Source organism: Homo sapiens, chromosome 1 (genome assembly GCF_000001405.40).
Source record: "Homo sapiens chromosome 1, GRCh38.p14 Primary Assembly".
In the NCBI taxonomy this organism is placed as follows: Eukaryota; Metazoa; Chordata; class Mammalia; order Primates; family Hominidae; genus Homo; species Homo sapiens.
In genome coordinates, this window is record NC_000001.11 from 7,745,092 (window position 1) to 7,757,319 (window position 12,228).

The following is a 12,228-nucleotide window of genomic DNA, read 5'->3' on the forward strand; positions in this document are numbered from 1 at the left end:
TTGTATTTGATGAATGCCGTGTCATAGAAGACCATACCAAGGAAGGAAGGAAGCATGAGGACAAGCTCTGTTGCCACTTTCAAGGCCCAGCTCCTATTCCTACCTCTCCCATTATTTTTTTTACTGCTATCAGAGCATAAGAGATCGTGTTAAGCTGGGCGCGGTGGCTCATGCCTGTAATCCCAGCACTTTTGGGAGGCCAAGGCGGGTGGATCACCTGAGGTCAGGAGTTTGAGACCAGCCTGGCCAACATGGTAAAACCCCGTCTCTACTAAAAATACAAAATTAGCCGGGCATGGTGATAGGCGCCTGTAATCCCAGCTACTTGGGAGGCTGAGGCAGGAGAATTGCTTGAACCCAAGAGGCGGAGGTTACAATCAGCTGAGATTGCACCACTGCACCCCAGTCTGCGCAACAGAGCAAGATTCTGTCTCAAAAAAAAGAAAAAAAAGAGAGATAATGTAGCATAATGTTTCCCCCTAATTCAGCTGAAGTTTTCTAATGGCAGTAGAGTGTACTGCTACTAGGTTTTAGTATTTAGCATAGTACTAAAGTTATGATAGGTGTTGAGTATAAACTTACTCAATCGAAGGACACTGGGTATGTTTAGCAACTTGCCTAACTGAATGAAGGCATGTTCCTAATTGCCCACAGTGGCTTCTGGCAGATACCATCTTGGCTCATTCATTAATATCTAATGGGTGGTGCAAATCAATCATTAATCTGTCTCTCCTTTTTCTCCTCTTGTTTCAGAAGTGCATATAACGAGCCTCTAACCCCTTCTTCTAATACCAGCTTGAGCCCTGTTGGCTCTCCCGTCAGTGAAATCGCTTTCGAGAAACCTAACCTTCCCTCCGCCGCGGATTGGTCAGAATTCCTGAGTGCATCTACCAGTGAGAAGGTAGAGAATGAGTTTGCTCAGCTCACTCTGTCTGATCATGAACAGAGAGAACTCTATGAGGCTGCCAGGCTTGTCCAGACAGCTTTCCGGAAATACAAGGTAAACTAGAACAGAACCTTCGTTTTGTGACATTCTTAAGATCAGAGAGGACAGATGAAAGTCAGAATCATGCGAACAAAAACATTTACTATTTCTTTTTTTCCTCTGAATTTGTAGAATTTTTTTGGAAGTCTCCAATTTATTAAGATTCACTATATAACATATCTGTGTGTGTATCTGCTTTGTAAAAATATTTTATGGTAAAATATTCATAACATAAAGTTTGCCATTTTGTCTGTTTTAAAGTGTGCAGTGTGGGGGCATTAAGTATATTCACAGTGCTGTGCAACTGTCACTGCTACCCATTTCCAGAGCTTTCTCATTCTCCCAAACCATTTGCTTTTAACAACCAATTTTTAAACAGTTAAACATGAAATTTTTATCAAATGTTTACAAAGTTCCTAAAGCACCTTCATAGAAGAGTTTCAGAAGCGTAGTCTTCTCAGTTATCTGAGGCATAGAGAATAACTGGCTGGGACAAGGGCCCATCCATGGTTAGGCCAGGGCGGGAATGGGGCTTTTCCGGCACAGAACAATGCTGATTTTTCTTTTTCTTTTTTTGAAATGGAGTCTCATTCTGTTGCCAAGGCTGGAGAAGTGCAGTGGTGCAATCTCTGCTCACTGCAACCTCCACCTCCCAATTCAGGTGATTCTCCTGCCTCAGCCTCCCAAGTAGCTGGAATTACTGGCGCGTGCCACCACACCCGCCTAATTCTTGTATTTTTAGTAGAGACAGGTTTTCACAATGTTGGCCAGGCTGGTCTCGAACTCTTAACCTCAAGTGATCCGCCTGCCTTGGCCTCCCAAAGTGCTGGGATTACAGGCATGAGCCACCGCACCCAGCCTTGATTTTCCTATTCTACCTTGCCATCCTGAGTACAATGTCTCTTTATTATTCCTTAAAACAAATTTCATGAGTTCATAGAATTTTTAATTAAAGTTATTAATGTCACATTAAATAATTCTCAGAAGCTTTAGTAAAATAATGTTAGCCAATAATGTAATGGTTATCACCATGTCAACATACTGTTGGTAATGATAATGCGTATTATTCAGTTAATATAAAGTAAGGTGACCCCTCTGCTGCTAGGAGGTCGTGACCTAAAGCAGGGGTTTTCAACTGGAGGCCTGGGGGCTGACTCCAGGCAGCCCCTGAACTCCTAAAATTAAGCAGTAAAGCTTTTTCTGTGTGCATTTTTGGTGGGAAGGGGACCCATGGCTTTCTACAGATTCTCAAAGTAGTCTCTAACCACTCCCAAAAAAGTGTTAAAAGCCATTAATCATTGATCCAAAAGTAAAGTAGTTGGGGTTATCTTAGGAAAGATAGTTGAGATCTGGCAAGACAAACAGTACAATGCCTAATTTGTTAAATACTTTAAAAGGGAATATATTTTTAGTCTGCTTAACATTCCAATATCATAGTTTTATTTAGAAGCAAGGATAGTCTAAGGTTTATTCTATAAATTCATTTTTCCTCATTTATAATTAATTATCAATATTTTTTGGTAAACCTGGGATCTCAACTCTGAGAAGGTGCATTAAATGAGTAGTAATAAAAAGCTGACATTTCTGGTAGTTAATCATTACTGATTTTTTTTCTCCTTACTTTACCCTTAAGGGCCGACCCTTGCGGGAACAGCAAGAAGTAGCTGCTGCTGTTATTCAGCGTTGTTACAGAAAATATAAACAGGTAAACCTCAGTTTTGCACCACAGAAGGAAACTGTGCCCCACCCAAGGCCACTGAAGATCCTGGTTTGGCTAAAGAGCACTACATCTAGTACCTCATTACAGAGACTTAATTTGTTTTTTGGTTGTTTTTTTTTTTTTATTTTTTTTTTGAAACGGAGTCTGGCTGTGTCGCCCAGGCTGGAGTGCAGTGGCATGATCTGGGCTCACTGCAACCTCCACCTCCCAGGTTCAAGCGATTCTCCTGCCTCAGCCTCCCGAGTAGCTGGGACTACAGGCGTGTGCTACCATGCCCAGCTGATTTTTCTAGTTTTAGTAGAGTCGGGGTTTCACCATGTTGCCAGGCTGGTCTTGAACTCCTGACCTCAAGTGATCTGCCCGCCTTGGCCTCCCAAAGTGCTGGGATTACAAGCATGAGCCGCAGCGCCCGGCCAGAGACTTAATTTGAACTGCCATGATAAAACAAACAAACAAACAAACAAACAAACAAACAAAAACAGGGGAAGCCACACATGATGGCGTGTGCCTGTAATCCCAGCTCCTCAAGAGGCTGAGGCCGGAGGATCTTCTTGAACCCAGGTGTTGATGTCCAGCTTGGACCTCGTCTCAAAAAAAAACCAGAGGAAAACAAAATAAAACCATCTGCAATTAGACTTGTACCGCAAAAGGGTTTTTGTCCAAATTTTTGATCTTTTAGTAATATTACCTACCTGAGATACTGGTCTGATCCTAACACCAGTATCTTTGCAGTGAGGATCCGTGGTCCAATACTTTGATAAACTCCCTAGTAATTAGAGAACTGTAGGGAATCCAGGGTGTGATACCGTGATTGGAGAAAGTAAATGCTGGCTATTTATTACCTTTGAGTTTGAATTATATAAGGTATTTAATCTTTGGCCATTTTCCTTTCAGCTTCTTATCCATTTTAAAATGAAGAATTGTTAAAATCTTTGAAAATCAGAAGAAGCTCAGAACATCTTAAACTGCTTTTGTGCACCTTAGTTAAAGGTGCAAGAAGATTATCTAAGTACTCTTTCATGCAGTATTTCTGTTTGCAAACCACCTTGTAGGGTTATGTAACTAGTCAGATGGGAAAGGGAAGTCATATTTTTGGGGCAGCTAGTATGCACTAGATTTTTTAGGTGCCCCATCTCATTTCCTTTTTACAATTATTTGAAGTAAGCAGTATTTATTTCCAGTTTACAGATGAAGAAGCTGAAGCTCAGAGAAATTACATGAATATTAGGCCTTTCTCATTATCAAGGTGGTTATAAAATATTAAAAATTGCCTAATGGAGTTTTGACTGGTTCACACGATAAAATTCAGGCCTGTCAGTAGATTCGAGAACCTTTTATCAGATTGTGCTTTAGGTAGTTATAAATTTTTATTTAAGGAATAATAAATTCTAATATGTGTAATGGTCACATAGAAATTAGGGATTCTATCACCTTGTCATAATCCAGGACTTGCCTCAATTTCTGATATGGGTTGCCGTTTCCTCAAGCTTCTCTAGGATTAAGCCCTATTAATGGGGGTGGGGGGACGTCTTTGGCTTCGAGCCAGTTGAGTTCATGATCCCAGAAAAGGAAGGTTTATTGTGCAAACGCTGACACCACAGTGCCTGTAGCTCTATAGCAGGGAGCCGCACTGGCTTCTGTTTGGTGAGCAGGCTTCCTGGGAGCACAAGTGATACACAGAATGAAGGTTTCAAGTCTGTGATTACAACAGGTATTGATTCCAAAATATGAGTTTGGTTTTTTAAAAAAAAAAACCCTCCCCAGAAACTGTCATCTACAGCTAGGAAGACAGAAGGCATTATTTTTGGAAAGAGTAACAACTATAAAACAAATATTTTGGAAGATGGAAGGCATTAATATAGCCAGGTTGCCTTTTTTTTTTTTCTTGGTTGGGAGTTTTATTGATTCTGGTTTTTAATTTCATTATATTCAGCAATGTAACATTAATCTTGTATTTTCTGTTTTTCCCCCAAGCTGACATGGATAGCCTTGAAGGTAATGATACACCCAAGCCCTCTCACAAACCATTCCACCAGAGTCACAAACTTCACACCCATCACCAGCTACAGGGAGGGCCATTAAGATGGCACAGTCATGGAGTAAACATATCCCCCTTGCCAGGCCACCTAAGCACAGTTCCTCTGTCGTCTGGGGACCACGTGGTTATTCAGCTGGAGTGGGTTTCGACATTAATAACTGGACATTTTTTGGCTGGTGTTAATCCATCTAAGCCAGTTCCTGTGAGCCCTGTGGCCACTAAGTAAATACCCTTTTTCCCAAAGCGCTTCACTGTGGCCCGATGGGTCTGAGTGTGTAGTGTGCACAGGTGGAGACGATGGAAACCACAGGGGCTCTGTAGTCTGCAGCATTCTTGTCTTCAAAGACTTTCAGACCAGTGAAAAGGTAAAGCAGGTCAGATAAGACCAAAGAAGGTTCTTGCAGAAGGGTCCTGGTTCTTGGACAATTCTGAGAAGTCAGTTTCCCTCCCTCATTTCACCTCCTCATACATCCAGAGATACAGTTAGGCAGATACAGGGATTTTCTGGGGAATATTTTTCCTTGCGACGGTAAGTTGCCGTCTTATAAGCAAAGGGCTTCATTGCAACTTCTCATCCCCAGAGTCATACTCTGTTTGATTAGAAATTTGGACGTAGCATTTTAAGACCATGGAGAGCTCTGTATTTTTAGTGCCTAGAGACTGATGTTGAGAATTCACCCTGGGCCTTCGTCCCTCACTTCTGTAGCTCTGCAGCGGGCTGCGTGGAGGACTCCTGGCACTGCCTCCTGGGTCGTCCGCAGCTCTGTGACAGCCGTCCAGGTTTCACGGCTTCACCACCGTGTTGGTCTTACGAGTGTTCATCTTTTACAGGTTAAAATGGCTTAAAGGTGTCAGCGTTTCATGATAAGCCTTGTATTTGGGACCTTGCAACTCAGTCAGAAACTTGTCGTGTGGAATGATAGTTAAAAATCAGAGGCTGAATGCTAAGTAGATTTGTGTATGGTGGGAATTGGAAGGCATAAAAAAATTATGTTAGTGTTTCAAAACTGGATAGAAAATATTAATCCGAAGCATTTAAAATTTTACTGTCGAAATCTGTTTTTAGATTCATAAACGTCTAAGGGTATTGCTATTAAAATTTTTCTCCAAGAAGGGCAAGATATTTTGATATTTTAGGGAAAAAATATATGTCTGAAGGCAACCCTTAAAGTAATATTTTACATTTTGGAAAGGTAGGTGTAAAGATTCCTCATTTGCCTCTTTTGTGATTAAACCCCGGACAGAGAATGTGATAATAGAGGGGAAAAGCATTTTCTCTTCTTCCCTTCCCGGTAAGCTCGAAGGACGCTGAGCCCGTGCAGCCCCTGTTGTTACTGTGTCGCTTGTTCTTGTTTCCCCTGCAGTACGCACTTTATAAAAAGATGACACAGGCTGCCATCCTTATCCAGAGCAAATTCCGAAGTTACTATGAACAAAAAAAATTCCAGCAGAGCCGACGGGCTGCTGTGCTCATCCAAAAGTACTACCGAAGTTATAAGAAATGTGGCAAAAGACGGCAGGCTCGCCGGACGGCTGTGATTGTACAACAGAAACTCAGGTGGGTGGAGAAGAGCTCATGGAGGTAAAGCTCCCTAGGGAAGAGAACTCTGACTTCTTTGAAAGACTTGTCCTGGGCTGACATTGGAGTCTGGGGTGGGCCTAAAGCATTGGCAGTCACTGTGTTCCAGAACGTTTTAGGCATGGTGGCTGATAAGTACACCTGTGCTGAGTCTGGTTTTGAATATTTAGCTCTTTCTCTCCACCTCCCACCCAATTATTTTGATATTGCCACCCAATTTTACCTTATATCAGAATTTGGCAGCACCAGTTTCTACTCAGAAAGTTACCACTCAATTATAGTAGTTTAACCCATTTCCTGTTTAGGAAAAAAAAAAAAAAGTACAGCCCGCTGCCAGCACTCATGTAATTTTACATAAACATGCTCTTTGAGGCTGAAGGAAATCTGATTTTCAATGTGAAAATAAAATATGAAAACTATTCTTGGAGTTATTTCTAAACAGAACTTGTTCCTAATCCTAATGTAACTGAAACGTATATGATGCTACATTCCGATTAGAGACAAGGCTATTCTTGACACAAATGGGAAATGAGTGAAATTGTAGAATTACTGCATGTGAGACCTTGGGAGAGTAATTAGGGTTAAGCTGTTCCATTTTAGAGACTGTAATAAAAATGTTGAGCCAAGTAAAATATATTGATCAGTACATTTACAAAATAGCCCAAAGAGTGTATCAACTCCGGTGAATCACCTTGTAAACTAAGAAAGCCTCTCTAATGCCAGAATGCCTTTTGTGGCAAAATGAGCTTATAATGAATTGTGGAAGAATATTTAAGTGACATTTTATTTTCAGTCTTTGTATAGTCTGTCTTGAAGCTGAGAGCGCCTATACACACCCTCCTTTCTCCTCTAGTGATGCCCGGACTCGATACTATGGGAACAGCATACGCACTCATCCCCCTTCAGATTGTATACATCTTTAACATATGCTGTTGGCTTTGCTACACGAACTGCTTAATTCAGAGTCCTCTGTCACTGCTGACCAGTTTTCCATATTGGGCTTTACTGTAACCTTCTTGTGACAATAATATTCTGACTTTTTCAGGAGCAGTTTGCTAACCAAAAAGCAGGATCAAGCTGCTCGAAAAATAATGAGGTTTCTTCGCCGCTGTCGCCACAGGTACACTAGTCCTTGTTTATACATTCTGCTCAGGGAGAATGATGAAGCAACCCTGACCTTCTTAACCCTCACTAACTCCTATGTAAAGCTAATCCCCCTGCAGATAATCAGGGCAGACGTCCCAAATTACAATAGGGCGGTAGAGCTCTTTAACTAGGGATCAGGTTGCTACCCTTGGAGTGCTGGTAACCATGTCAGACGATGCTGTTTGAACAATGGAGATTCATGCCCGTGTTTTTCTGTTTTAATTTGGGTGTGAGGTCAACTTAGTCGGACTAGCTTTTAATTCTAAGTTTCTCTTTAACCTGTGATTGATATGCCACATTGCAGTATGTTCTTTGCTCTAATCCTTTACTATGCTAGCGCGTGTCCAAACAGAAAACAGTTTCTAGTCTCAAGGAAGGGAAAGAAAACCACGAATTCCAAACAAGTTTTCTGATGTAGAATTTCCACCAGATAGCTGGTGCCCTCTGCTGGTCATGTAATCGCCAACATGCTCTATTATTAAACTATCAATTAAAGCCGGTCCGTGATGAGGAACAGGAGAGATCACTGGAATGCAGCTGTTCAGGAAAAGAAAGACATCTGAGACTCTGGGCACATCTTCAATTAGTAGGAAATGGGGTCCTGTGACCCCAGCATTCTGTGGGATGCAGCATCTTCTCATGGAGCTAAGCCAGAGGAATTTCTCTTTGTTCCTCAAATTTGAGATTTCTTTATGAAGACTAGCGTCTCTACTTAGATTTCAGAGGGCTGGTGAAAGTGGTTTGTGTTCTTTATCCAGGTGAATATTCCAGTCTGACGTCTGTAACTGCGGCCATCCGAGCTGGGTGTAGACCACCTTCTGTGTGGTTGGGTTGTTGCTCTGTGTGTCAGGAGCTGTGCAGTTTATAATACCAAACATTAAAGCAGACTCTCTAATGTCTTACTTCCTCTTCCTATTTAATTATACCAAAAGTCCTAGTATTCATATTTAATTGGATTCCTTGGATGTTTCATTTTGCTTTAGTTTTTCTTACTCCTATACCATATGATTGCCGGCTTTGAAAATATCTTGCCTTTAAGACTTAATAGGTTTAATGGGTTATTTGTACTTTTACTTAAATTAACAGAAGAATTTATTTTTGTGACCATAGAAGGAAACATGCACAGCCACTGCATTAACATCATAAAAACTTAAAAAACGGCATTCACTAAGATAGATGGTTTTCCCCAGCTATGATGCCATGCAGAAGCTAATGTTCACTCGCCCTGTGCCTCAGCAACATTTACTTTCCACCATGCAAGGATGGGAGATTTTTCACCATGATAGCTAATGAGTAACATACCAGTGTCAGTACTCTGAAACAGGAAGTCCTGTTAGGAAATGCATCCCCAAAACGGGTATGGCTCTAAGATCATGAAATTAATTCTGCAAGCCTTACCAAAGGCAGCCTCTTTCCTTTATTATTCAATCATACCTTTTACTTAGCAGGGACTTAGGACCAAAGAGAGTAGCTGATTTTCTTTATATGGTGAACAGATCAAGGACTCACCTGGGCCCTTTTCCTTACATTCTCCAATACGTTCATAGTTCCTTCCTCCCTTTTCCTCTTCGACCTGCAAAATGAAAAACCTGAGCAAGATCCTATCCAGCACTGAAACCAATAGACTTTGGCCACTTTGAGCAGAATCACATCTTCTTTCATGACACTGTGGTTAATACTTTCCAGATAGATTTTGTTTTCAAGAAAATTACCTTAACACCACTCTTCTTTAGGCCACTTCAGACAAACCAGAATGTCTGCAAGTTAAGTCGTGCTAGACTTTTTCCTCCTTTCTTCTAGTCTGATCCTCAAACTTTGAATGAATGTGTGGGTAACGTGGGAGCAAAATTGCATAAAGTCCTACACTCATCTCCCTTTTGTTTTTGCCAAAGCTGTGTCCCGTGTTTACTTTGGGAGAGTTAAGAGAATGAGATATTTAAACAAAACATAAATTCATGAAAGGTTGCCCCCACAAAGTAAGCTGAACAAAGGAGTCCTTTCACTTTTGTTTTTAGAGTTCTCTTTCTGTAAACTGGTAGAGGAAAATTTCATGAAGATTTTTGCCTTAAGTATAAATTTTAACTGTTAATAACCTTATAAGATGGATAACAAGAAGGTTCATTATGAAGAGAACATCAGATACGGGCTCTGGATTCCTGTGCATTAATTGGAATGAAATAAAAAATGTTATTGGCTCTTTACTTGACCATTTACAGTTTAGATGTTAGAAAAATAGGCAAATTTTAATAGCCTCTGTAATAAGATCAGTATTCACTTCCCATTTCTATATATTCAATTAATATGTTCAATCTTGAAGAAATCCTAAAAATCTATCCTGGAAGTTTGTTTTAAACTGATATTTTCTTTAGGATGTGTGTAATCCTATTTTCATTCTGGGTTGAGTTATTTAATGTTATTTTAAAAGAAACTATTCATGTCTGTTGTCCTTAGAAGCATTAAAATCTTATTAAGATAGAAAACCTTGGCCAGGTGCGGTGGCTCACGCCTGTAATCTCAGTACTTTGGGAGGCCGAGGCAGGCAGATCACTTGAGGTCAGGAGTTTGAGACCAGCCTGGCCGACATGGTGAAACCCTGTCTCTACTAAAGATACAAAAAATTAGCTGGGCGTGGTGGTACGCACCTGTAATCCCAGCTACTTGGGAGGCTGGGGCAGGAGAATCTCTTGAACCTGGGAAGCGGAGGCTGCAGTGAGCCAAGATTGCACCATTGCTCTCCAGCCTGGGCGACAGGGAGAGACTCCGTCTCAAAAAAAAAAAAAAAAAAAAAAAAAAGGAAAACCTCATATGACACCCTCTCAAAAAGGTAGGTAGATAGTAGCTTCAGGAATCAGTCAGAAGTATCCCATTTCTAAGTCATATGACCCCAATTTTTTAAGACTTAAATTGATGAATTTTTTTACCTACTCATTTCACGTACCCCACCATCACTCTCCTTTTCTTTCTTTCCAAAAAAGAAACCATGTTATATTCTTTTTTGTTGAAATAAAGCTATTTGTAAGATTTCTGTTGTGACCCTCATGTGCTAATAGCTCTCTGGTGTTGTTTTACTGTCTAAAGCCCCCTGGTGGACCATAGGCTGTACAAAAGGGTGAGTTTAGCTGCCTGCTAGCCAGTTTCTCTTCTCTTCCATTTTCAGTATTTTGCTTTTTGCTTGCTTGCATGAGGCTGCAGCCTAGGTATGCCAGTAAGTTTCACATCCATTTTGAATGAATTAAAATCAAGTAAAAACTAACCCTAATTACTAACACTGCTATTTTATATGACAGGAGAACAGTCACATACATTAGATGTACAAATGCATGAGTGAGTAGAAGGGAGGGCCGTTCCAAACCACTGCAGGGCATGCCGAGGATGCGGTGGAGGAAGCCTCAGGACGAAAACAGGGCTGGCAGGCCACGTACACGGCCAAATAACGCTGCGTTATACGAAAACATTCAGCCAGTGGCTTTTTGTGATTAAGATAATTTGCCACATGAAATTTTCTCAACGATTGCTTTGTCAAAATTTCTAAAGCAAGGAGGCTCACTAGGAGGTCGTACTAGGGTTTTTTTTTTTTAATGAATCTATTTCTTACTGAGAATGACTGTTTCCCTATACCCTGCTCCTGTGCCTGCATTTTCTAAATCTCTCCCTCCCTGGTGCTGTGAGGTAAGTCACTGTACAAGGCTGCCCTTTCAGAACAAACCCAGGACGTTCATTATAAAATAGCGAACTGGCCTTCCAGCACTTGATGGGAATGCTGAATAATGAAAATGTGGTGTGAAATGTCTCGAATATTTATATTTTACATAACAAGAGCAGGGATTCCAATAGGCTTTGAATTTTAGAGAAATTACAATGAGTAATTTTAGTTCCTGAGATTTTAGAATATGATGCTAGTTTGTAAGCAGGGCAAAAGGCAACAGTCTCCCAGAAGCAACTATAATGTGTTTGAATTATAATAAAAGATTTAGTGTCCGAAAACCATTTTTTCAAAGCCAGGAATAGGCCAGGTACGATGGCTCATGCCTATAATCCCAGTGCTTTGGGAGGCTGAGGTGGGAGGAGTGCTTGAGCCCAGGAGTTCAGTGCCAGCCTGGGCAACATAGGGAGACTCCATCTCTACAAAAGATAAAAAATTAACCAGGCGTGGTAGGGCATGCCTGTGGTCCCAGCTACTCCGGAGACTGAGGTGGGAGGATCATGTAAGCCTGGGAGGTTGAGGCTGCAGTGAGCTGTGAACATGCCACTGCACTCCAGCCTGAGCAACAGAGCGAGACCCTGTCTCAAACAAAACAAAACAAAACAAAACAAAAAACGCCAGGAATAGAATTCATCAAAATTTAATTAATTTAAATGAATTTAGATTAATTTGACAACCTGTTTCTTATATATAATCTTAAGAGAAAAAATGAGTTGAAATTATAACATGGGAATTTTCTCTATCAACTCAACTATATTCAATGCCCCCTCTTCTTAACCTTACACTAATACTTTATTTAGTCATCTTTAAGATTTCTGAGAAAAGGTCATAGTTCAAAAAATCTTAAAACTGCTAATGTTTCTGGAGATATTATTTCCCATCTAACTAGACTTATGTTGGTGCTAATCTTTATTTATTATATTTTAACCCAGAAGTTGGCAAATGTTTTTCTGAAAGGCCAGATAGTAAATACCTTAAGCTTTGTGGGCTGTATGGTCTGTCCCAACTACTCAGTTCTTTTAATGTAGCAGGAAAGCAGCCACAGACAACACATAAA

The 12,228-nt window shown here is 40.7% G+C and overlaps 1 protein-coding gene across 42 annotated transcripts in view; it reads left to right on the forward strand.

The window, feature by feature from the left end:
- Positions 1 to 12,228, forward strand: part of CAMTA1 (calmodulin binding transcription activator 1) — a 984,253-nt gene that overhangs the window by 959,638 nt on the left and 12,387 nt on the right. For 15 of the 42 annotated variants that reach the window (XM_011541083.3, NM_001349609.2, XM_011541087.3 and 12 more), the window contains 5 exons: positions 754 to 1,000; positions 2,619 to 2,690; positions 4,680 to 4,700; positions 6,108 to 6,301; positions 7,368 to 7,442. In XM_011541083.3, coding sequence (XP_011539385.1) covers positions 754 to 1,000; positions 2,619 to 2,690; positions 4,680 to 4,700; positions 6,108 to 6,301; positions 7,368 to 7,442 — 609 coding nt within the window. Of the gene's footprint in view, positions 1 to 753; positions 1,001 to 2,618; positions 2,691 to 4,679; positions 4,701 to 6,107; positions 6,302 to 7,367; positions 7,443 to 10,546; positions 10,578 to 12,228 lie in introns of all 42 variants that reach the window. The other 27 variants (XM_011541086.4, NM_001410737.1, XM_047415997.1 and 24 more) reach the window with 4 other exon arrangements.